This window comes from Homo sapiens, chromosome 15, assembly GCF_000001405.40.
Source record: "Homo sapiens chromosome 15, GRCh38.p14 Primary Assembly".
Taxonomy (NCBI): Eukaryota; Metazoa; Chordata; class Mammalia; order Primates; family Hominidae; genus Homo; species Homo sapiens.
Genome location: NC_000015.10, coordinates 68,181,944 through 68,206,787, shown reverse-complemented (window position 1 = coordinate 68,206,787; position 24,844 = coordinate 68,181,944). Strand labels below are relative to the sequence as shown.

The window sequence follows — 24,844 nt, the reverse complement described above, 5'->3', positions numbered from 1 at the left end:
GCCTAACTCCAAGGAGGCACCTCATCTCTTCTGGAGCCCCTTCCCACAGGCAAGGGGATTCAGAGGGAGCATGTTGGCCTGGCCGCCTTCAGGCTTCCAGAGTCCCAAGTGACTTTCCTTGATGTCCTTCTCTCCATCCTCTGCACAGAGGCAGCCTTCCCTCCTCTTATCCCTGCCATGGGGTTTGGGAGGGGGAGCCTCAAACTCTGACAGGGAGGAGTCGGAGTCCCCAGCTAAAATTCTCTGGGTCTAGAAACAGGTGTAAAGCGATTCTGGGGATGTGATTTGGGAGAAAAGCACACTTTCCACACAGAGGCGGTCAGGAAAGGAGCGGGGAGGGGAGAGTGGGGCACAGGCAGCGCCTCCCGTCTATGCGCCTGTGTGCAAAGTGGCACAATGCCCCCCTTCCTATTGGCAGTGCAGCCCCTGGCCAGCAACCACTCGCACCTGGGCTGGGGGCCTTTGTGTAGGGCACACCTGTGCAGCCACACCTACTTGTAGAGCCTCATAGACTCAGCTGTGGACAAAAGCCTCACGCCCCAAACAGGGAAATGGGATCTCAAGGGGAAGAAGCTGGGGAGGCCTCACACCCTGCCCCCATTTCCTCCTATGTGGGGGAGGGGAGCAGCACGAACTCCTGAAGACTTGGGAGCGTCAGCAGCTTCTGCGGAAGGGGTGGGGCTGAGGGTGGAGAGAGGAAGGGAAGGAAGAAAAGGGGAGCCTTCCTGGCCAGGGTAACCGGCACTAAGAGGCCTCACTCCAAGCCCCCGAGGAGCCTGTGGTGGGGCTGGAGACCCGGCTCAGGCCCCTCCACCACCCTTAAAGTCCTCAGAAGGTGGGAACTGAACTGGCACAGGATGGGAACCGGCTGTGCGCTGGCCACTTGATTTTGCCAGCTGCCCTGTAATTCAGCTGGTGAGGAAACTGAGGCACAGACTGAGGTAGAATGATTCGCCAGTCACTCAGCAAGTCAGCAGACGGGGAGGACTGAATCCCAGCCTGAGAGCACCGAAGCTTGTATCCCTGCAATACCGAGCCCCAAGCCTGCGAGCCCCGGTGCCCATCTCTGAGTTAGGCCGTCTTGGAAGGGTTCCCTTCCTCCTACAAGATGGTGTGTGAGGAGCCTTCAATACGACCCGGGGTGTAAAGTGTCCAACTCTAGTAGGGGCCTGATGGCATCCCCGCCGAGTCCCAGGAGAGAGAGAGAAGACCCCTTCCTGGAGTCCAGGGCTCCCGGGAAGAAACACTGGCATTTGTCCCTTTGCTTCGGCTTCTGGAGGCAGAGACTCTGAGCCCAGGGAGAGCCTTCTGCAGCCCCATTTCCTCAAAAATCCAACCTGCCCAGGTGGCGGGTCATGAGCTGTGCTCAGGAAGCTGGAATCTGACCCTGGTGGCGTCGGGCCCAGTCTCCATGGCAGCCGAGCATTTATTACCCGGGCCTCCACCCAGCTTGGCAGACTTTAGACTTGAGGCTGGAGGAAAGGGAACTGAACGCGGTTCTGGGAGCAGCAAGCCCACGGGTAGCAGCCGAGGCCCCAGAATGGTGAGTGTGAGGGTCTGTGTCGGCCTGGCCAGGGCTGGGGGCGTGAACCTCAGGTGGAGCCCTCCCCTGACTGTTTTCCTTTCTCTGCTGCAGGCCAAGTTTCTTTCCCAAGACCAAATTAATGGTAGGTTGGGTTTGTTCTTTGATTAGCAACTCAGCAAAATATGGGTCTCATTAGGCAATTTGCTCTGCTCATGTTTTCTTGGTGGGAAGGAAGGTGGCTGTGGGAGAGCTGGGCCCACCCAGGGCCAAGAGCTGCGGGGAGGCTGCTGTTGGCGGGGTGGGGGTTGGGGGTAAGCCTCCAAAATAGACATGTGGCTTTATACTTGTCAGTGTGACTTACAAGCCAGGGCGCTAAGACAGAACTTACTAGGTTTCCCTCCAGAACCTGACCAGTTGGATTTGGGGACTGAGGGGACTGGGGATGGAGAGAGAGACCATTAAAGGTATGGCTGGCAGCAGGGAAAGAGGAGGGGCTTTGTAATTGAGACAGAACAGAGGCCAGGTCTGCACTCTCTGGCAGGATGCGTCTACTCTCTGCGCCTCAGTCTCCCTATCTGTAAAATGGAGGGTCCACTGAGCCCCCTTTGCCCTGGCATCAAGCCTGGTTTGGGCGTGAGCACTTTATTCCCTGGGTCCCCTACTCTGCCAGCCCTCGACCAGGCTTCAGTTTCACACCGTGCAGGGTTCTATTTCCAGAAGGCCAAGAGCAAAGAGTTGCGTTACAAAGAACTTGGGGGCCCAGACCTGAGCCAGGGGAGCCTCATGGCTGCAGCCCCCCTGCACCTGGCAGGAGAGGCCCAGGAGGCACAGCCAGCTGCTGCTTGAGGTTGTGACCCTGAAACCTGTCCCAACAGTGGACGTCAATGGGCCTGAGAGTCCCCCGAGGCATCCCATTCCTCCAGGTCTTTGCTGAAACATCGCCTTCTCAGTGAGTCCTTCGCTGACCACTGGAGATAAAATTACAGGCACCTTGGGCCCTTGTGATCCAGGGTAGGGTCCTGAGAGCCCAGCCAAGTGGGGTTAGGGTTACCTGGGCAGGAGTTCCAGAGTTCTGGGTATTCTGAGCTTGGTCCAGAGGGGCAGGAATTGTGAGCTCCAGGTGGGCACCTCCACGTAGAACCCTGGAACTCTTTATCCCAAGAGGAGGGCCAGGGCAGGAGCAGGGACTTTTAAAACACAGGGCCCGGGGCAGTGCCCTCTTGTCCAGGTCTAACGGTGATAATGAATGGTGGACTGAGGGCTGGAGTCCAGCCTTCAGCCTCAGCATCCTCCCACCCATGCCTGGTTTTGAGGCTCACTGACCCTCCCTCCTGGGATAGCCAAAGCTCCCAGAAGGGAAGAAGGTAAATTGTCTTTGTATCCCAGTATCTGACACCAAGAAAGTGGCCACCAGTGTTTAATGAGTGTGTGAAAGACTGGATGGGGTGGCCTAGCGAAGTGGGAAGAACAGGGGCTTTGGAGGCAGCAGACCTGAAGCCTAATCACCCTTGAGCCTCGGTTTTCTCACCTATGAAGTAGGATATGCCACCTTACCAGGCTGCTGCGAGCCACGGACAGAGGGGAATAATGTCAGTTACATGCTGGACGCTGGGCCAGGCATAGCCAGGTGTCACCCACATGTGGGCTGGGGCTGGCTCACTACAGCTAGCAAGAGCCATAGTTTTAGGAATTTTGCAAGCAGGATGTTAAAGCCAGCCATTATTAAATAATGTAGGATCAAACAGTGTTTCAATCCCTACATCTATCTGTACAAAAAGTTAAAAAGACAGCCCTATTGTGATCAGTGGAGATGGAGATTTGAAAGAAGTTTCAATTTAATGAATGTGTTTGGTAAAAGGGTGAGAAATAGTTTAACAGTAGATCACATCAGGTTTAATGACCATTCATTCATTGGAAAAAGAATCGCACTCATTGGCGCGCAGCTTCATTTGTCAAATCATGGTTGAATCGAAACTATAGGTTGGCAATGGATATAAGAGTTGGCAAAACTTGGGCTGAGTGCAGTGGCTCACGTCTGTAATCCCAGCACTTTGGGAGGCCGAGGCATGTGGATCACCTGATGTCAGGGGTTTGAAACCAGCCTGGCCAACATGGTGAAACCCCATCTCTACTAAAAATACAAAACTGGCCAGGTGCAGTTGGCTCATGCCTGTAATCCCAGCACTTTGAGAGACCGAGGGAGGCAGATCACCTGAGGTCAGGAGTTTGAGACCAGCCTGGCCAACATGGTGAAACCCTATCTCTACTAAAAGTACAAAAATTAGCCTGGTGTGCTGGCAGGCACCTGTAATTCCAGCTACTCAGGAGGCTGAGGCAGGAGAATCACTTGAACCCAGGAGGCGGAGGTTGCAGTGAACCGAGATTGAGCCACTACACTCCAGCCTGGGCAACAAGAGCGAGACTCTGTCTCAAAAAAAAAAAAAAAAAAAAAAAAGCCGGTCATGGTGGCACATGCCTATAATCCCAGCTTCTTGGGAGGCTGAGGCAGGAGAATCACTTGAACCTGGGAGGTGGAGGCTGCAGTGAGCTGAAATTGTGCCATTGCACTCTAGCCTGGGCAACAAGAGCAAAACTCTCTCAAAAAAAAAAAAAAAAAAAGTTGGCAAAACTCATTTGTGGTAATCAAGTGGCTAGATGGAATTTATTTATTTGAGACAGAGTCTTGCTCTGTGCAATGGCATGATCTCCGCTCATTTCAACCTTCACCACCCAGACTCAAGGGATTCTCCCACCTCTGTCTCCTGAGTAGCTGGGACTACAGGCATGCACCACCACACACAAAACATTTGTAAATATTTTGTAGACATGAGGTCTTACTATATTGTCCAGGCTGGTCTCGAACTCCTGGGCCCAAGCGATACTCCTGTCTCACCCTCCCAAAGTGCTGGGATTACAGGCGTGAGCCACTGCACCCAGCCCTAGATGGAATTTATAATAAAGAATAGTGTACATTTCTGTATTATTTGTAAATTGTGTGCTACACATCCTTTATGTTTGTACAGTGCAGAGGACACAAGTACATTTATGATCAGAGCTGGTGGTTAAACATCCAGCACAGCTGGTGTTATCCTAGGCCTTGCACAGGTCTCTTTCTTGTCCTGGGGGATTTGCATTTTCAAAGAGAAGACTTAAAGGGGATTTTTAATCCAATTCATTTAACCCAATTAATCCTTTCATTCAACAAATGTTTGTGTCCCTTCTTTGTGCCTGGAGCTACATACAACAGTGAACTCAAAGACAAAAATCCCTTCCTCACAGGGGGTCACCATCGAGGGAGGGGAACGTGGTGAAATATATGTGCTAGTATGTTAGAGGGCCGACCTGTCAGGAGAAAAAGCAGGAAGGAGAGCCAGGAGGTGAGGAGGGAGAGTGAAGAGATGGTGGAGGAAGGGGCCAGCAGGAAGCCCAGCTGGGTCTCCAGCACCCTGTTGTCTTGTTCCAGTGCAGGAATGCAAAGTTCAGATGTGGCCTTCCAGGTCTTTAAAGGCGTCTGAGGCAGGGAGACAGCACGTATCTGATGTGAAGGTTTGTGAGGAGGTGGGCCTCTATTTGAGCCCTGGCCCTGCTGCTGGCAAGGACCACAGGCCCCCAGTGACTGACAGGGCTTGTCGGGGAGTAGTGAAGTGCCCCCATCTGCAGATCCAGGCTGATTCTGGACCCCAAGGGTGTGATGAGCACCTTCCAGCACAGGTCAGGCAGGGAGAGCAGTGGGCCTTGGGCCCACCCTCACCCAAGGGCAAACCCAGACAGAAAGACAAGGTGAGGGTGGCCATGAGAGGTCCCCAGGGGTACCCCCTGTAGTGCTAAGGTTAAGCTCTGTGATTGGGGCAGCCCTCTCTCTGTCCCCCTGACGTGAGGTGATGGCATTGTCCCCTCTGGCACTGGGCCCTCTTGCAGGCAATTGGGTTTTATGGGAACTAAACCTGGGGTCTTAGGCCAGGCTCTGGCCCTGCTTCCCCTGGGCCTTTTTGGCCCCTGCCACCTGGTCCTGACTTTGGTTTGCCCCTTCGGAAGCTCAGGCTCTGGAATGTTCTGAAAGGGCAGTTGTGCGGGGCTGGGGCTTTCCTCTCAGTCTCTCCACAAAGGCCGCGAATTTGTCTCTAAATGGTACATGGCGATCTGCCTGTCTTTAGTGACCCCCCTGAAATCCTACCAGGGAGGCCTGAGTGCCTTCATTAGGGAATATGAAGGGACCCCTGGTCTGGGCTGGGGATTTGGGGGGCTCCTTCTGCATCCTCTCCCTCACCCTACTGCTCTCAGTGGTGTCTGCCCTGGAACCGAAGGCAGTGTGGCCTGGTGGGCAGAGCTGCCCACAGCCAGGCTCTCAGTGTTCCAGCCCTCAATGTCCTGTCCGCACATGGGAATATGAGGGGGCGCATCACAGGGTTGTGGGGATGAAGCGAGGGCCTGGGGGTGGAGTGCTCAGCAACGTGAATTGTCATTGTTGCTGTCATCAGCTAAGGGGCTATTATTGTCCAGGCCTCTAAGGACCTACCTGGGTGGTGTGAGAAGCAGGAGAGAGAACAGAGCCCTGAGCCCCAGCCTGGGAGGGCCAGCGCCAGGCCACTGTGTTTCCACGGCTCCACCCACAGGCCCGGGTGCCTCGTCTGGGCTGGACGAGAATCTCCCTGTCCTGATGGCAGCCCCACCTACCCCTAAATCAGATGCTCAGTCAGTGCGGTTCAGGGACTTTTCCTGAACTCCCAGCTGGCCTTCCTGGGCCTCCCAGGGCCGGGAGCCCGTGGGATGGCTGTGTCAGGCCGGGAGTCTGTGGGTTTAGGGGAGCTAGCTCCGGCTGCCTTCCACCTCCACCAAGTACCGAAGGAGAAAGGGCTTCAGACCCTGGGAGAATTTCCCAGCAGGACCCTTTGAAGTCTCTAAGAACAGGACCAGGGCCCGAGTCCAAGGACAGCTTGAGGGTTTAGCAGCCTGGAGGCCAGGGCAGGGGCAATAGGCTCAGAAATGCCCCAGCTCTGATGATGATGATAATATCATCATATGAAGGCCACTCTCTGGCAGGCCTCCTGGGATTTCTGGCTCTCACAGTAATCCTGAGGCCTTATTATTCCCATTGTCCAGAAAAGTTGTGTTTGCAGAGGTCCCCTGGGGGTCTGGACGCCTTGCTGTGGGTTCCTGCTCTCCCCTGTGGGCCCTGGAGGGGCACTGTCCTGGGAGTTCCAGTCCTGTGGGTTGGCGGGGAGGGGGAGGGAGAAGGAAGGGAGGGAGTAGGGAGAAAGGGAAGGGGAGCCAGATAAAATACAGGACACCCAGTTAAATTAGAATTTCAGACAAACAACAAATACTTTTCCAATAGAAGTATATGTCCTATGCAAAATTTGGGGCATACAATAAAAGTATATTCAGTGTTTATCTGAATTCGGTTTAACTTGGCAGTCCTGTATTTTCATTTGCTGTATCTAGCACCCTTGGGAGGGGAGAGAGGGATGGAGGGAGTAGGCAAAAGGAAGGGGAAAAGAGGGAGAAGAGACTAAGGATGGGGAGGGCGGCATGGGCGGAGAGTGACCAGACGCTGCTGACCCTCCCTCTGGGCCGTGTGCAGAGTACAAGGAATGCTTCTCCCTGTATGACAAGCAGCAGAGGGGGAAGATAAAAGCCACCGACCTCATGGTGGCCATGAGGTGCCTGGGGGCCAGCCCGACGCCAGGGGAGGTGCAGCGGCACCTGCAGACCCACGGGATAGGTGAGTGGTGGTGGGAACAACGGGGAGAGGGGAGGGGCCCAGCAGGTGGGTGCAGACAGTAGAGGTGTGAAAAGCTCAGCAGTTTGAGGGGCAGGTGGCAGGGAGGCCTCCTGGGGATCCAGCTGTGGCAGCCCCAGACCAGGAGTGCCGTACCTCACTTGGGCTTCCTGGAATCCTCATAGCAACCAGTGATACCCCATCTCACAGACCTCGGGATCTAGGCGTTCCAACAGACTTACCAAACCCAGAGAAAAATCGCGCTGACAGCGATCCCATGTTGCTTTATAGGAACATTTCCCTTTGTTGAGTATTTGTCATGTGCTTAGCTCCAAAAACCCTATGAAGTAGGCATTCTCCTAACCTTTTTTTTTTGAGGGGGGACAGAGTCTTGCTCTGTCACCGAGAAGCTGACGTGCAGTGGTGAGATCTCGGCTCACTGCAACCTCTGCCTCCCAGGTTCAAGTGATTCTCCTGCCTCAGCCTCCCAAGTAGCTGGGATTACAGGTGCCTGCCACCACGCCTAGCTAATTTTTGCATTTTTAGTAGAGATGGGGTTTTGCCATGTTGGCCAGGCTGGTCTTGAACTCCTGACCTCAGGTGATCTGCCTGCCTCGGCCTCCCAAAGTGCTGGGGTTAGAGGCCTGAGCCACTGCGCCCAGCTTTCTCCTAACTCCATTTTACAAGCAAAGATCAAGGTTTACATCCATTAAGTTCTTGAGCCAATGATGGCATCAGGATTAGTACCCAATTCTTCTGATATCAAAGACTGACCTAAAAACTATGCAATAGTTTTTAGAAAAACTATTGCTAGAAAAAAAATGCTGAAAGAAAACCCATCCAAGATGTTACCAAGTGGTTCTCTCTGGTAATGGGATTATGGGTGATTTTTGTTCCTTTTATTGTTTCCTGTATTTTCAACAATGAGAACACATACAGCTTTTCATAATCAGAAACAAGTTTTATGTTTTGTTTTGCTTTTTCTAAGAAAAAAAGTAGTTTCAGAGCCTGGGGTTGCTGTTTGCATTGGGGGCTGGACACTCAGGAAGGAGGGACTGGCGCAGGGGAAGGGCATCCGCTGGGAATAGCACTTGACCCGGAGCCCATAGGCTGCTGCTCAGTCTCAGGTCACCAGCTTCCTCATCTCAGGGGGGTCACCACCATCTGCTAGGGTTACCAGAGGCCCCACTAGAGGATGCCTGCAGTTGCGCTGGGAGCCCACCCTGGGGCAGGCCACGCTGGGCCCAGGTGGGCCTCTGAAAGCCTGCAGCCTGGCGGTGGGTTGCTCAGTGGTCTGATACCTGAGATCCCCCATGTCCAGCTCCAAAGGGGTGGTGGTTTCCTTGATTTCTGTCCCCTCCAAACAGGAAGTTGTAGTCCAGGGAAGTTTTGATTTCCTGCAGTTACATCCCAGCCAGGGCCCGTGGAGGAGGGGCTGGGATGGAGACTGCAGTGAGGGGAAGGCAGGTGAGCAGCCCAGCCTGCGACTGAGGCTTGAGACCCCAGGTGGGGGTGCTGATCCATCCTGGTAAGATGTACTGTGGTGGCTGTCAAAGGTGGAATGCACACATGGACCTGTTTCCCTCCAGTTCAGGGCAGGAGGGAAGCGCTAGAAGGGAGCAGAGGAGCCCAGTCCTCCATCTGTGGTTGGGAACCCACTTTCTTGAGCTTTGGGGTGATGATAAGCATCGTCACTGAGGACGTTGCTGAAATGAAGAATGTCCAGTCCAGTGAGGGGCCTGTCGTGGGAACTCGGTGGGAGGGGATGCATCCTCTTCACTGTGACCACTGCCACATCCTGGCATTCCCTGGTCAGTTGACCTTGAACCGGCTGTGCAGGTCCAGCAGGAGGCCAGCTGGCTTCCTAGGAGTCTTTTTCCCTCTGCTCACTCTGCTGTGTTTGCGGGTTTCCTAGACGGAAATGGAGAGCTGGATTTCTCCACTTTTCTGACCATTATGCACATGCAAATAAAACAAGAAGACCCAAAGAAAGAAATTCTTCTAGCCATGTTGATGGTGGACAAGGAGAAGAAAGGTTACGTCATGGCGTCCGACCTGCGGTCAAAACTCACGAGTCTGGGGGAGAAGCTCACCCACAAGGAAGGTAACAGCCTGGGTCCTGTCTCCCAACAGTTGGAGGGGGTTAGGGAGTTGGAAGGAGGGCACCAAAGCCTAGCTGATGCCACCAGGGTGGTACAGACCACCTCTGTTGATGCGCGCGCAGGAGACTGTGAGCAGATGCCACACTAGGTGGGTGCTGGACTGGAGCCTGGGGAAGAACTAGAGGGGCTGGAAGGGCGCAGGGAGGTCTGCCAGGGTGAAGGGACAGCCTAGGGGAAACCCAGCTCGGAACCCACAAGGCAGGGCAGCTGGAGCGTGCAGTCTGGTCTCCCCCTGTGTTCAAGCTCTCACTGTGGGGCTTCATCTAGTGCATGACACCCCTGGGAGCACAAATGCCTGCTCCTACTGATAAAGAAGCAGGGGGAGTGAGCGGCTCCCAAGCAGCGGCGCAGGAGCGAAGGCAGGTCTAGACATCCCTGCCCTTTTTCCCATCACAGCAGTCTGCAGTTGCTGCTGAGGTCGAGTTTCCGAATTGAGGTGCTGCTTTGCTCCCTTTCCAACTCAGGCTGCTCTAAGCTCTTCCAGAAAGGGGCTCCAGAGGGAACTTTGCCAGGACAGTTGGAGAACTGCCGAGACAGGCAGGGTTCCTGGTTCCAGAGCCCCACGAGAAAGGGGTCTTTGCTTTGCACCTTCCTGCAGCCTAGCAGGCTGTCCTGCCTCAGAGCAGGACGAGGCCTGGGGTCTTCTAGGAAAGCCCTTTGTACACTGTCAAGGGGATCCCCACGCCAAGGCCATTTACAGCCTTTGTTCTTCCAGCCTGCGGACCCTCCTGCCTAGCCCTGCCATGTTCGCAGCAGCCAGCCAGCCAGCTCTGCCTCTGCCCGAGGCCAGGGACCCCGACCTTAGAGCCTGGGGTTTCTAGGTAGGCTGCCCTGCTTGCCTGTGGTTTGGACAGGAGAGCTGGGCTTGGCCACAAGTGGGTGCTGGAAAGAGGCTTCAATATGACGGACTTTCCGTCTCTGGTTAAATCACAATAAACCACTGGAGGAGAGCTTTGAGGCTGTGGTTTGAATCCTGGGTGCCAGGAGACCTTTCTCCCACCTCGCTTTCCTTGCTGGAAATGAGGGTACAGTAGGTGACCCCTCAGGTCCCTCTGAGCTACCACTCTACAAATCACTCTGCTCAGATTTTAGCTACTGCCATTAAGGCACAGTGCAGAGAGTTTAAAAATTGCTGCAGAGTTTAAAAATTGCCTGACATACAAAAATTAGCCAGGCGTGGTGGCGGGCGCCTGTAGCCCCAGCTACTCGGGAGGCTGAGGCAGGAGGATCACTTGAATCTGGGAGGCGGAGGTTGCAGTGAGCCGAGCTTGCGCCACTACACTCCAGCTTGGGTGACAGAATGAGACTTTATCTCCATAAATAAATAATCGCCCAACAGCAGGCTGGGTCTCCATACCCAGCTTTTCCAGGTTCACCTCTCGTGGCTGTTTTCACATGGATAGGGAAGACATGGGTCATCCTTCCCTCCCAGACTCCCCCCAGGACACTGCCCGGCCCTCTAGACAGCAGGTGGAGTCAGCAGAGGGAGCAGGGCCTTCTTTTTGTGGTTAATGATCTCTGTCCTAAGCAATGCCATGGCCCCAGACTCACATACATCTCTAATAACCAGCAGAGGACTGTTTCACAGAAACTGCTGTGTTCCAGACAAGCAGGGACACCGATTTCCCTCCCACTTGCCACGGGAGATGGGAAGAATGATACCAGCAGCAGGAATCCTTTTTCTGGGTGATCGAAAGACAATTTTCAGTTTAAAAAGCATCCTTGGAATGGCTGTGGGTGAAGCCTTCTCCTGAGGCCTGGGATGGGCTGACTTTAGCACTTTGGCTTTCTATGGGTCTTTGAAGTGAGATGGAGTGAAAGGCTGTTCTACTCAGGTGTCCTCAGACTTGGCACCTGGCTAAGTGCTGTCCCTCGCCCAGATGGGAAGAGGCTGCAGTGACTGGCCCTGGAGCTGATGTTGGCCTATCCCCCAGGATGGTTTTAGCCACCTGGCTGATTGTGGAAACTTCTCCACAAAATGAGATGAATTATACTGTCCTCAACATTCTCCCAATAAATACTCAGAACTACTATCAGCTTAGGCCAAGGCATGGTGATTATACTTTCGAGAAGGATAGTTAAGCAGAGAATCACAGGATATTTTCTAACTGACGACCGGAGGTGTGTGTGTGGAAGGTATCCAGGCCTGGGAAGTTGACACAGGGCAGTGAGATGAGGACAGGCTAAAGAGCCATGGTAGGTTGACCCCAAGAGGCCATTGTGGAGAATACAAGCTGAAATGGCTCTTGCCAACGCCTGGGACAAGCTATTATTTTATCCCAGGAATCCAGAACCAGAAGAAACAAGCAAATGAAGTGATTTTTTTTTTTTTTTTGGAGTGATGGAGAACAATGGCAGTTTTGTTTTGTATACTGTGAGCTCTCAACAGAGTTGGATTTATTTTTCTCTCATATAAACCCCATCCCCCAAACATTTTTTTTTTTTTTTAGAGGTGATGGTAGCAGACAGTGCTTGTCACTAAGTCCTCTCTTGGGGTGGGGGCAGAGGTGGTGAGGAGCACCGGCTTAGGGGAAAAGGCAGGCAAGTGAGGAGCAGGCCGAAGCCTGGGACTGTGGAGGATGTTCGCTCTGTTTGCAGGCTGAGCTGCGGAAGGTAAAAACTCCAGGCCAAAGGATTCTAGAAATATGGGCACAGGGGTCATATTTTCATGAAAAAATAAAAATAAAAGCACAGGGTGGGCCGGGCACAGTGGCTCATGCCTGTAATCCCAGCACTTTGGGAGGCTGAGGTGGATGGCTCACCTGAGGTCAGGAGTTCAAGACCAGCCTGGCCAACATGGTGAAACCCCGTCTCTACTAAAAATACAAAAATTAGCCGGGCATGGTGGTACTTGCCTGTAAGCTCAGCTACTCAGGAGCCTGAGGCAGGAGAATCGCTTGAACCTGGGAGGCGGAGGTTGCAGTGAGCTGAGATTGTGCCACTGCACTCCAGCCTGGGCAACAAGAGCGAAACTGTTTTAAAAAAAAAAAAAAAAAAGCACACGGTGGCATCAGTGACCGAATCCTTACCAGTACACCTCCCTACTCCCTGCCCCTGCAGAAAGCCCGATTAGCTCAAAATGGAATAAGGGTCTCAGGAGTGCAGGGATGGGTTGTCCCTTTCTGTTCACTGGTTTACTTCCTGGTCTACAGGAATAGTCAACTGCACGCTCAGGGAAGACCTTAGGGGAGCTCCAGTCCCCAAAAAACTCACTGTTTTATAATGGAACACTAAAGCCAAACTGAAAAATTAAATGTGATTTATTGCAGTGGATGATCTCTTCAGGGAAGCAGATATCGAACCCAATGGCAAAGTGAAGTATGATGAATTTATCCACAAGATCACCCTTCCTGGACGGGACTATTGAAGGAGGAGAATGGGAGAGCCTCCCCTGGGCCTGAAAACTTGGAGCAATTAATTTTTTTTAAAAAGTGTTCTTTTCACTTGGGAGAGATGGCAAACACAGTGGCAAGACAACATTACCCAACTATAGAAGAGAGGCTAACTAGCAACAATAATAGATGATTTCAGCCATGGTATGAGTAGATCTTTAATAAAAGATTTGTATTGATTTTATTAACTACCGTGAGTCCGGCCCTTTCAAGCATGGAAGGAGCCTGCGGTTTGGAGTCTGGCCTGGGTTCCAGTCCTGGCTCTGCTGCTTCCCACTGTGACTTTGGGCAAATCATTTCACTCCTCAAAGCCCCCCCACACAAGCTGGATTCCCACTTCTTACCTCATGGAGCCTGTTGAGGAAGGATTGAGCTGATGACTTAAGGGCAATCTACCAAGAGACTTATTCTGTATTTGGGGGCTAGAACCATCTTCCATATTTCCAAGATTTTCCAAGATGAAGCCAGTGCTAGCTGAGAAGCAGCAATGAACAGAAAGCTGTAACACTTATGACAACAATTCTTGCAGTGCCAGAGGCCCATTTACAAATTCTCATTTCCATCTCAACAGATATAGTGACATAGCTCAGGCTATTCATTCATAAACACAGAGTGTAGAGTGAAAACACTAGAGTGAAAACACATGCTACAATGAGGCAGCATCAGCTGAGAGCAGGAAGAGCGATCTACTTTACACCCCACACCAAAGGAAACCAGATGTGAGCTGCTAAATTGACTGGCCTTGCAGAGCTCAAGAAGGGGGCTTCCAATGCTGTGAGAATTCCGAGCTGTTCCCTGGGCTCTGTTAACAGGCAGAGAGGTTCCGGGATGGTCTGCTCAAGTGGCCCACACTGGTCATTGCCTTAAGCCACCTCCCCAGGACTTACGGAGAGAAATAAGGGGATGTAACCAGCAATGGCCAGGGTACAACAGCCCTGGAAAACAGTAGTAGGAGCACTAGGCTTTCTGGGAGTCCATCCAGCTGGAGTGGCTTTGAGTGAGTTACACAGCTAGAAGGTGCCAGGTTGGTGCTGCCAGAGATTCAGAGGTGCCATACACTTGTCAAATCTGGATCATTCGTAGTGCCAGCACAGTCCTAAAAGGGCTGGAGTACCACACCAACACAGGTAGGGGTGCAGGGCTTCAAGTACAAAGATTTGCATCCATGTATGTATCAAAAGTGGGTTCTCTGGGCTGTGGCTTTGTCTAGTAGTACCACAGTGGCTAAAGTAGAAGAAAACCAAATCAAATGGGATGTGTCTTTTGGGAGGATGTACAAGACACAAATCTTTCACTAGGCACCGGGCACAGGGAAAACTGCAGGGAACAAGAGTTGTAGTGTTAGTGCAACTGTCTCAACGATGCTGTGTGGCTTCAGACCCAAACAAGGCCCTGAGGAAGGAGACTCTCATTTCCCCAAGCATAACTGCAAGGAGAGGAGGAATTCCTAGGAGCCAAAGAGTTTTGTGGGGTGAGGGTAAATAAATGGCCCAAATGCCAACTAGGTGAAGTTGTGACCATCTGGCTGGGAAGCCCAGGTCCACACAGTGTAGGAGCAGATGTTTTGTGGGGTCTGAGGTTTACGAGATTTGGCTGCCTTAAGAATACAAAAACAGAAATGCAGAATTTCTGGGGCTGCTCCTAGGACCAGAACAAGTGAAGGGTCCTGGTGCTTAAACTTCATTACCTTCATGGTAAATCCACCAGAGGGCCGGTTAGATGCTGGCCCCGCCGAGAGAACTGCTGTCACTTTCAGGCAAAGCTCAAAGGTCCTAGGCCCACAGTTCTTTTGAGCTCCAGTCATGGACATTAGGAAGTAAATCCTGCACAGCCAACCTGGAATACCAAAGATTAGATGGGAGATAGATACCAATGATTTAGATGGCACAGGAAGAGCAAGTTCTGGATATAATAAATGAGGGTACTTTCCGTCAAAGCTTTTCTATGTCTATATTTATCACTGAATAGTCCCAGTATGGTTTTAAAGCAAGTTTTATGAATCTCATTTGCCTAACAGGAATCTGAAATATAACTTGCCAAAAACACACAGTTGGTGTGGAATGGTCATTAGAACCTGGGGCTCCTCTTCACGGACTCCCTGCTCATTAAGGGATTCAGTGGTCCAGAGTCTAAGATCCTATTAAGTGTTTGATTCAAACCTCTACCCGAGGAAGGGCTGTTACCTTACTCCTGGTCCTGGTTTCAAGCTCATTCCTGAAATTCCAGCTGGTTTCTCTAGCACCTAGTGTTGTTTACAAGAAGGCCACGGTGCTCTTAGCATTCAAACTGCAGATACTAAACAGATGCTGTGATTTATTAAAGAGTTAGCCATATTTCAACAAGAAAGGGAAATGATGGCTATATTCATTACTTACCTCAAAGCATGCTGCAAGAAAATTAGTTAGTTACTTGTCATGCTTTGAAATCTCTGGATGAAAGGTGCTTTGGAAGCACAAACCATTATCACTTGTCTCATAGGGATTGTCCCCTTGAACATCCAGCAGTGTTATTTTACAGAAGACAAATTAACTGAAGGCTTTTCTTTTATTACATCTAAAGAGCTCTACATAAACAGGTAACATTCAATAGGTAAACAATTTTTTTCCAATGCATGTAATAAATATTTTCACTTGGTACTTTTATACAAACTGACATTGTCTACTATACATTTTTAAAAGCCATTTTACTGGTTTGGCATGCGGTATGGAAATTCTAAGAGAGAAAGTTTTAAGGCAATGAATCACAGATTTAAGTTCATGGAATTTATGGTAACTTTATCTGTTTATGTACATTTTCCCCTTTGTTAAACAATTAACAGCAGCACACTCTGGGACCACCAGCTATTTTCCCTCTCTTTCTGAAATCTAAGCTTTGTATTTAATTAAAAAACAGAATTCAACATCTATTGATAAAACAAAATTCTTACTAAAATAATTTCAAATGTGCTTTAAAAAGTCCTGAAGATCTTGAAAGTTTTATGTGTTTAAAATTGAAATTGTCTAAAAAAATGCTCTTTCCACATTAATTTAGTTAGGATATATTTTCACTCCATTTCAGACACTTGACTCAAAGGAAAATCTGCCAAAGAATCCGATTTTTCAGAGCTTACGTGAATCTTTCCTCAGTAAAGATACAGAATTGTGATCATGTCTAAATAATTAGTAAAGCAATTTTAATGCTCAAAATAGTCAACCAAGTATGGCATGGTTCTGGTTCAGATTTTTTTTTTTTAAGATGTATCCAATAACACTCACGAAGTAATTAAAAGCCACTTTAACCCTGCTAGTCAAATAGCTATTTTATCAAAGATGTGTGCATACAGATGTATATATATATACACACACACACACACAGTACTGTACAGAAACAAACATATGCATACCTACTATGAACGGCCAAGGCAAGGGGGATGATGGCAACTTGACTAGATTCTGAGAACTGCTATTTGTCCACAGATAGCATGTCAATGTTGGGATGGGTTGGGGAGTGAGCGTAGGCTAAGAAAAAAAGAGATGAAGTGACTATGTGCTTTTCTTTAAACTTAGTAGTTACAGACATAGTACAGGACTCTACTAATAATTAGTAGAGATCATGAAAGTCTGATTGATATTGACCATGAGACCAACAGAGTGACAACTATTACTTAATGCAACATTTTGGAAAGTCAACAACTGATGGAAACAAACTCCTCACAGGGTAGAACGAACTAAAATTAAGACAACTGAATGGTTAGTTTCTCCTGTGGACACATGACCAAAACCACTGAAACCACCGTATGTTTATTTCTCCCTATTACCTGTTCTTCTCTTAGGTTGGTATAATGTGGGACACTGAGGGAAATTAACCTTTTCTACAACTGAAGAAAGTAGAGGGATACGTTTTCAACTGGATCATTCAAACGGTTTGTAATTCAGCATCATACACAAAGTTACTGATCAGAATTCTGAGACCACTAACAATGACACATAAAAAAACAGGAAGAAAACTATTCATTTTACCTAAGACAGCTGAATTAGTAAAAATGTTTCCTAAAGCAATGTAAAAATCAGAAAAAACTCCCCACAATTTTAGTAATTTCTACCCCAACAGAAATTTAGACACAAATTATGGTAGTATTAGAAATTAGCCTAAATTAATACGACATTTGCTCACTATAATGCCAGATTCATTAAAAAACATTAACTGTTTCCTGGTTAACTGACAATCTGTTTTGGTTTTTTTTTTATTGCAAATTGTTTTATGACTATAACTCAGCCATTTGTGTGTGGAATACACATGCGTAGGGGAAGACTATGAAACTCACTTGTTACTCAAACACACTTGTTTATAAATACATATATACACACACACATATACATATCAACACCAACTTTTTTTTTTCCCAAAATTCAAGTCAACAATTTAGTGGCAGAGAGATGCTATAAAAACATTATTTTTAGATGCCACACAAGTCATGAGAACCATTAATTTTATCATACAACTGAAGTACAGCCATCTTGAATTCTACCTGGATTAAAGTTGATCATTTTGTTACCAATGCAAGGTTTAAAACTACAAGTGTATACACAAAGGTGGTCCTCATCAACTCTGAGAACATTAATAGTTGCGGTAGGAAAATCCAGTCTGGAAAACCAGCAGTCATTATGCCCCTTATCTCTTCTGTTAAACCTGCATTCTCAATCAACTAAAAAATATTTTCCACACCTGAGAACATCATACCTTCTCTGATGAGGATTTTGGAACATTAGTAGAACCACTTTTCCTTCCCTCCAACTCATATTTCTCTCCTGAAAAACAGTTTTCAGTATATTTACATGTTCCATTATGAATAAGAGTAGATCAGACTGATCCATGAATTCTAAAAAAAAATGACTTTCCTATGTCATACTTGTTAAAAGGTGAAGAAAAAGATAAACAAGGCAGATACGCTAAGAAAATAGGTATACTCAGAACCAAAGAGTAAAAATGACTAAGGGTCAAACACATCTTGAATTTCAACTGTTTATCAAATAGTAGACTTCTACAAAAATGTGGTGCATTGTACTTTCCAAACAATTTATTTTTAGGATAACTGACCGTGTATCTTTCTTTTTTAGGTGATGTAACATTACCTCTGTCAGCTGCACAAAACACCTGACAGAGCTTTCTAAGCTATTTTTACTTCCTACTTTGGTATGAAGATCTTACATGAAAACTTGTTACTCTGTGGCCAAAAAAAGCAGGTATTCACAGACTTGGTTTAAATACACAATACTGGCAATCCAGATTTAGAATAAAGAACTAGACTAAAGTGTATTATTCATAGGTCGGCTAAGCCTACTCCTTACCCAGACAGCTTTATTCCAATATCTCTAAAACATATTCTCAGGGGGTACAGAGCAAATAAGAGAATATGTGATGGAGAACATGCAATTGGGATAGTTGATAAAGATGCTCACACGTGAGTTCAAGACCTTCAAAGCACTTTGAAAGAAGCAAGCAACTGATTATATTAACTGAATGCACACTCGGGAGGAGAGGGAACAGTGATGACAGAAAAATACATACAGACGCACACAATGAACACACACACCCACGAGCCATGTCCTGAAAATACACAGGGAATGCAGCGGGACAGATGAGCTTTATAACTTAAGGCTGGATAAAATATGCACACACAAACAGAATCCAAGTCTGTCGTTTTCAGAAAATGGAAATCAAACTATCCCCCGACCCCCTCCCCACAACAAAGAAAAGCCCACGATTGAAAACTTCATACATGCAATTCCTTTTCTGTTATTGCAAATAAAATAATGCCATCGAAGTCAAATAAAACCAAAACCATAGGACAAATAATGAAAAATCTTCAGAATCCAGAAAAAAATGAACTGAAGGTGGTTTGTGGGTGCTTGTTTTTCTTTTTTCTTTTCTTTCCTTTTTTTTTTTAAACAAGTGTTTTATCACACAGGCAGTCTTAGATTTATATACAAAAGTAAAACTGAAAATATAGTTTTGTTCTCTGTACATTTCTTTTAATTTTTTCCCTAAAAAAAGGAAAAAAAACACGCTTGTATACTTTTCTAAACAGAGTAAGGTAAAACAGAGCACAAAGTTCTCTTCTTTCTGCCAAGTTCATTCGATCTGGGGTGGGGATGGGAGCAGCAGGGCCTGGGAATCAGTCCAATGAAATAATGTCTGGTATGATGCCAAAGATGGATGCCGTGTCCGTGCTGCTCCTGTTTGTGACGGTGTGGCTATGGCTTTCCCTTAGGCTGTTGGAAGAAACCAGGCTGCTGTTACTGCCACTACTGCTTCCATTGGTGGTTGGCAGAGAAGTACTGCCTCCTGCACTTAACTGATCAAGAAACATCTGTGAGGAGGTATACGGGAAAAACCGAGACGAGTGTAGGAGGTCTTGATCATCTGAAACTGCTGCTGCTGCAGCGGCAAGCAAGGAGGTGTTGTAATGCTAGGGAGGGGAAACAAAAGACACAAAAATGTTAATTATACTTCCAAATTAATATATTTTCTCCTCAGCGGGACACAGCCCTAAATTTAAGATAGCCTGAGTATCTAGGGTTTCTGAAATATTTACTAAGACATTTTGCAAAATCAAATGGCCTTATGTAAGGACTGGAGCATTGATCTTGAGAAGACATTTTTGTATCTGAAACTGGAGGAAAAACAAAATATAAATTTTATTGTTTTTTGTTTTAGTTTGTATTGCAAGCAATTACCAATTCTATTTCCCAAGAAGCATATGCTCAGAAGCAGCAGGAGGGGCAGACAGTCCATGCTCTTGCTAGTAAGGAGATACTTAGCCAAGAAATCTATCAGTCAATATGACTCACTGCCCTGTTTCTTTATAAAACAGTACTGGAAACCAACAGACACTGTTCTTATTATACACTCAGGCACCACTGAAAGTTAGAATTTTTATTTAAATTTTAAAGCCATAATGATAATGGGTATGATTACTCTAAGTTTTCCAAGGAAATTTATCTTTCTCTTGGCTACACATTATACTTTTAAATACAGTCATGCGTCGCTTAATGACACGGATGTGTTTTGAGAAATGCATCATTAGGCGGTTTTGTGGCTGTGCAAACATCACAGTGTGCTTGCACAAACCTAGACAGTAGAGCCTGCTACACACCTAGGCTGTGTGGTCTGGCCTACTGCTCCCAGGCTACAAACCTGTACAGCATGTTACTGTGCTGAATGCCGTAGGCAACTGTAACACAATGCTAAGTATGTGTATATCTCAACATAGAAAAGGTACAGTAAAAATATGGTATAAAAGATAAAAAAATGATACACCTGTATAGGGCACTTACCATGAATGGAGCCTGCAGTACTGGAAGTTGCTCTGGGTGAGCCAGTGAGTGAATGGTGAGTGAATGTGAGGCTTAGGACATTATTGTACACTACTGTAGACTTTATAAACACTGTACACTATGGCCACACTAAATGTGTTAAAAATATTTTTCTTTCTTCAATAATAAATTAACATTAGCTAACTAATTTTACTTTATAAACTGATTTTTTAAAACTTTGACTCTTGTAACACTTAATTTAAAACACAAGTACATTGTACAGCTGAACAAAAATATTTCCTTCTTTATATCCTTATTCTGTAAGTCTCTATTTTTAACATTTTAAAATATTTTTTACTTTTTAACTTTTTTGTTAAAAATGACACACACAACACATTAGCCTAGGCCTACACAGGGAGGTCAGGGTCATCGATGTCACTGTCTTCCATCTGCACAGCTTGTCCCACTGCATGGTCTTCAGGGAAAATAGCATGCATGGAGCTGTCATTTGCTATGACAACAATCTTCTGGAACACCCACTGAAGGACCTGCCTGAGGCTCTTCTTAAGGAGGTGTCACTCTTTTCAGAAATATGTCCATGGTGTTTGGCTTGGTTTCTTTTTTATCATAGGTTTGCTTGTAAGTAGATAATGTACCATAAACATTCCTCTCTATTAATGAAAACCTTTCATTGTTAGGGCCCATGTTTTTTTTGTTTGTTTTGTTTTTGAGATGGAGTCTCGCTCTGCCACCCAGGTTGGAGTAGAGTGGTGCACGCAATCTCGGCTCACTGCAACCTCCGCCTCCCAGGTTCAAGTGATTCTTCTGCCTCAGCCTCCCGAGTAGCTGGGATTACAGGCGTGTAGCACCACGCCCAGCTAATTTTTGTATTTTTAGTAGAGACGGGGTTTCACCATGTTGGTCAGGCTGGTCTCGAACTCCTGACCTCATGATCTACCCGCTTTGGCCTCCCAAAGTGCTGGGATTATAGGTGTAAGCCACAGCGCCCAGCCAGGGCCCATGTTTTTAAATTTTTTAAGGAGCTTGTTGAGGTCTGCAAAAGCTTCTGCTAAACCTTTCACTGTGAATTTTCTTGGAGGTTCTTCCTTTTTGTCTCCTGCAGTTTCCTTTTCTCTTGCACCTTCTTCAGCTGCGTGTTCCTGTTCCAGTTCCAACAGCTCATTAGTCAATTCCTCAGGAACCACATCTAGGAGCTTCTCAATGTCATCCTCATCTACATCTAGGTTAAAGTTGTTTGCCATGTCAACCACAGCCTTGTCCATTTCTGCAACCTCTTCATCCTTAGCAGATTCTTTGAAGTCATGAACAAACTTCTTCAGTGTCTTCTAGATGTCATTCACATACTCCTTGGTGACATCAGTCCATGCCCAAGCAAGGTTCTTGATGCAGTCATAGCTGTTGTAAACCTTCCAGAATTGCATCAGTGTCCTCTCGGTGTTTTTCAGTTGCAGCAATAGCCTGGGCAAAGATCCTCCTTAGGATCTTTTAATAGGCCTTAAAAACTGCTACAACTCCTTGATTCATTGGTTGGATCAAAGAGGTGGTATATGGAAGGAGACACAACACTTTGATATTGGGATGAAGATCACCAATGAAATGAGGATGTGTGGGAGCATTATCAACAAAAATCATCATCTTGAAAAGTATGTTACTCTCTCAACAGTACTTCTCCATTTTGCTGGCACAGCAATTCGGGAGGACATCCTGGAAGAAAAGCTGGGTCATCGATGACTTCTTATTGCTCCTGTAGTACACGGGCAGTGTGTGCTTGCTGACATGCTTGAAGGCTCTGGAGTTCTCACTGTGCCAGATCACAAAGGGTTTCAATTTGTAGCCTGCAATATGGCCCCAAGCAAGACTGTTATCTTGTCCTTAAAAGCCTTGAAATCTAGCATTGACTTGGCTTCTTTATGGATGAAAGTCCTTTCAGCCATTTATTTCCAGAATAGGGAGGTTTCATGCGTATTGAAAATTTGTCTGGCAAGTAATCTTCCTTCATAATCAGCTTATCTAGAGTTTCCAAAAATTCTTCAGTTGCCTTCACATCTGCATTTGCAGACTCTCCACTCACTTTGATATTACATAATGAATAATGATTCTTCAATCGTTTAAACCACCCGGAGCTAGCAGTACATTTAACACTGTAGTTGGGTCCAGTCTTTTCTTTAAGCATTGCAAACAAACTTTTTGCTTTGGCCATGATCATTATGGTGCTGAGAGGGATATGTTTCTGTGTCTGGTCTTCAATCCAGGTCACTAACAAGTTTCTCCATATCTGATACAGGCCCTTCTCAAATTTTTGTTAGTCTTGTTGCCTTGAACAAAGCAGATCCTTTAACAGCTTCTATCACTTTGTTCTTGTTCTTTAAGACTGTAGCTATGGTAGAATGGGACTGCCTGACTGGTGAGCAATAACTATCACTGATCTTCCACTTTCATCGTCCTTAATCACTTAATTTTTTTCCATGTCAGTCACTCGATGTGGCCTCTTACTGGCAACATTAGCTGTGGATTTTGTATGCTTAGGGGCCATGATGAACAAAACAAGACAAGATTTTCATCAAGCACAAGAGGAAATGATGCAATCAAGAGATGTGGCAAACTGGGATGTATGAGGCTGTCCTGGAATAACATGGCACACTGTTTTACAGCAAACTTAAAAAAAAAAAAAGTAGAGGTACACTCTAAAATAACAATAAAAAATATAGTAAATGCATAAACCAGTAACAGAGTTGTTTATTATCGTTATATTGTACATAATTATACGTGTGATACTTTTACATGACTGACAGCATAGGTTTGTTCACACCAGCAACACCACAAACATGTGAGTAATGCCTTGTGCTACAATGTTACCATGGCTATAATTGATGTAGGGATTTTTCAGCTCCATTATAATCTTATGGAATGCATATATGGCCTGTCATTGACCAAAATGTCATTATGTGGCGCATGACTGTATTTTTAATGTACAATTAAAATAATAGTAAATTTTTCATAACATACCTGATTGTCTCCTGATAAGAAAGGAAAGAAATCTAATCCTGTGGAAGAAAAAATTATTTCAGTTTAAAAAAAAAAGAAGGAAAAACTCTTCCAAATGCCCCAATACTTCAAAAACAAATACAAGTCTTATATGCTATGTCACTCAGAATTTTATTTAAACATGAAGAGTTGAGCTAAACGTTTTACGTCTCTCCTTTCTTTAGATTACTAAGGCTGAAAACTAAGCTTTGGCAATGATTTGTCTTCTCCGTGACCCCATTTGGGGGACTGGGGCCATTACTACTCTGTCAGATCTAACACTGATCCTTAAACGGGCATAGTACTTTTAACAAATGCTCTGGACTCCTCTTAAGGAAACTTTCAATCTGCTCTAAGTTACTCCTCACAAGCACTTCATGAGGTATGTAATTAGTTTTGCCCTCATTTTGCAGGTGAGAAAGTTTGAAGTTGAAAGAGTTAGGTTAAGTAAGTTGTAGTACTGATTTTTCTTTCTTAAATTTGCTCATTTGCTATCAGATTCAACTGACAGACTGCAGTGGCATGAGGGGAGAAGAGGTTTGAGTGCCTGCAAACTGGCTACTATTACATAAGAAGGAGTAGTTCTGCTACCTGGCTGCTGAGGATTCACTGCAAGGAGGCCCCTTCCAATTAACATTCTTTTCTAGATCACCCAGTGTGTAATGCGATGAAGAGCAAGTGAACAAGCATGAATTAAATGCTTCATTATGATATCTAAACTTGGGGAAAGGTAAAACACGCAGCTATAGATAAATATATTACAACACCACAGATACTCTGGGCATCTACTCACTGTCTACATTATAACCGATTACAACACGAAGGCTTACAAAATGCATAGCACTGTTGTTCTTGATAGTGACAGTGCGTTTCATACATGTAGAAAAAAAGGTATAGAAAGATATCTAACCGTTAAGAGCAGCTGTAACTGGCTGGCCGTAGTGGCTCACGCCTGTAATCCCAGCACTTTGGGAAGCGAAGGCAGGCGAATCACCTGAGGTCGGGAGTTTGAGACCAGCCTGACCAACATGGTGAAACCCCGTCTCTACTAAAAATACAAAATTAGCCAGGCGTGGTGGCACATGCCTGTCGCGCCATTGCACTCCAGCCTGAGCAATAAGAGCAAAACTCCGACACACACACACACACACACACACACGCAGCCTGAGCAATAAGAGCAAAACTCCGACACACACACACACACACACACACACACACACACACTAGCTGTAACTTCCCGGGAATGGGGTTGGGGGATAGGTAGAGGGAAACTTTCACTTTATGTTTCTGTGTTGAATTTTCTACAATGAGCATATATGGCTTTTTTAATAAAAAAAAGTTCTTAGATTATATGACTAATATTCAAATTATTATGCTACAAAGATATAAAAACAATTCTTTTTGATAATATAAATGATTATTATGAACTCAAAATATATAAATGAGTATACTGACATTTCAAACAGCTTTTAAAAAGAAGGATCAGATAAATGTATACACCTAGTATGTACCCACAAAATTAAAAAAAAAATTTTTAAGAAGGATCAAATTCATTAGAATAAAAACTAAAACTTTCAAATGTCTCAACTCACCATTATCTAAAACATAATACAACATAGTTACCCACAATGCCTGTTGCATTACAACTAAAGTCAGGGTACAATAAATAATGTTCACAGGGCTGGGCGTGGTGGCTCACGCCTGTA

General features: G+C 46.5%; 2 protein-coding genes and 1 long non-coding RNA gene across 13 annotated transcripts in view, besides 2 other annotated features; 2 read left to right on the top strand and 1 right to left on the bottom strand.

The window, feature by feature from the left end:
- Positions 463-757: an enhancer, noted in NCBI's record as "tiled region #569; K562 Activating DNase unmatched - State 5:Enh, and HepG2 Activating non-DNase unmatched - State 10:DNaseD". NCBI's record gives its function as "activates a minimal TATA promoter and a strong SV40 promoter by Sharpr-MPRA in K562 cells, with weak activation in HepG2 cells {active_cell/tissue: HepG2 | K562}" and the evidence as "EXISTENCE:reporter gene assay evidence [ECO:0000049][PMID:27701403]".
- On the top strand, positions 678-16,083 carry CALML4 (calmodulin like 4). Of its 5 annotated transcripts, NM_033429.3 has the most exons (5): positions 1,456-1,543; positions 1,637-1,667; positions 7,107-7,247; positions 9,160-9,348; positions 12,676-16,083. In NM_033429.3, the coding sequence occupies exons 1-5, from the start codon at positions 1,541-1,543 to the stop codon at positions 12,771-12,773; spliced, it is 462 nt and encodes a 153-aa protein (NP_219501.3). In that variant the 5' UTR covers positions 1,456-1,540; the 3' UTR covers positions 12,774-16,083. The 5 variants fall into 5 exon arrangements, 4 of the variants coding, with proteins under 4 accessions (NP_001273623.1, NP_001273624.1, NP_219501.3 ...); NM_001286694.1 differs by lacking the exon at positions 1,637-1,667 and having other exon boundaries at positions 678-1,543; NM_001031733.3 differs by lacking the exon at positions 7,107-7,247.
- Positions 5,496-6,267: an enhancer, noted in NCBI's record as "H3K27ac-H3K4me1 hESC enhancer chr15:68492859-68493630 (GRCh37/hg19 assembly coordinates)". NCBI's record gives its function as "activates a minimal SCP1, AML or CMV promoter by ChIP-STARR-seq in naive H9 embryonic stem cells {active_cell/tissue: H9 hESC(naive)}" and the evidence as "EXISTENCE:reporter gene assay evidence [ECO:0000049][PMID:30033119]".
- PIAS1 (protein inhibitor of activated STAT 1) overlaps positions 12,941-24,844 on the bottom strand; it is a 139,533-nt gene continuing 127,629 nt past the window's right edge. For 6 of the 7 annotated variants that reach the window (XM_017022688.2, XM_011522126.3, XM_017022689.2 and 3 more), the window contains 2 exons: positions 23,121-23,158; positions 12,941-19,246 (listed from right to left, as the gene is read on the bottom strand). In XM_017022688.2, the coding sequence (XP_016878177.1) occupies positions 18,953-19,246; positions 23,121-23,158 (332 nt within the window). In that variant the 3' untranslated portion in view covers positions 12,941-18,952. The remainder of the gene's footprint in view (positions 19,247-23,120; positions 23,159-24,844) is intronic. The other variant, NM_001320687.1, reaches the window with a different exon arrangement.
- Positions 19,242-24,490, top strand: LOC105370871 (uncharacterized). Its single transcript, XR_932396.3, has 2 exons — positions 19,242-23,520; positions 23,637-24,490. It is a non-coding gene; the product is annotated as an uncharacterized LOC105370871 (long non-coding RNA).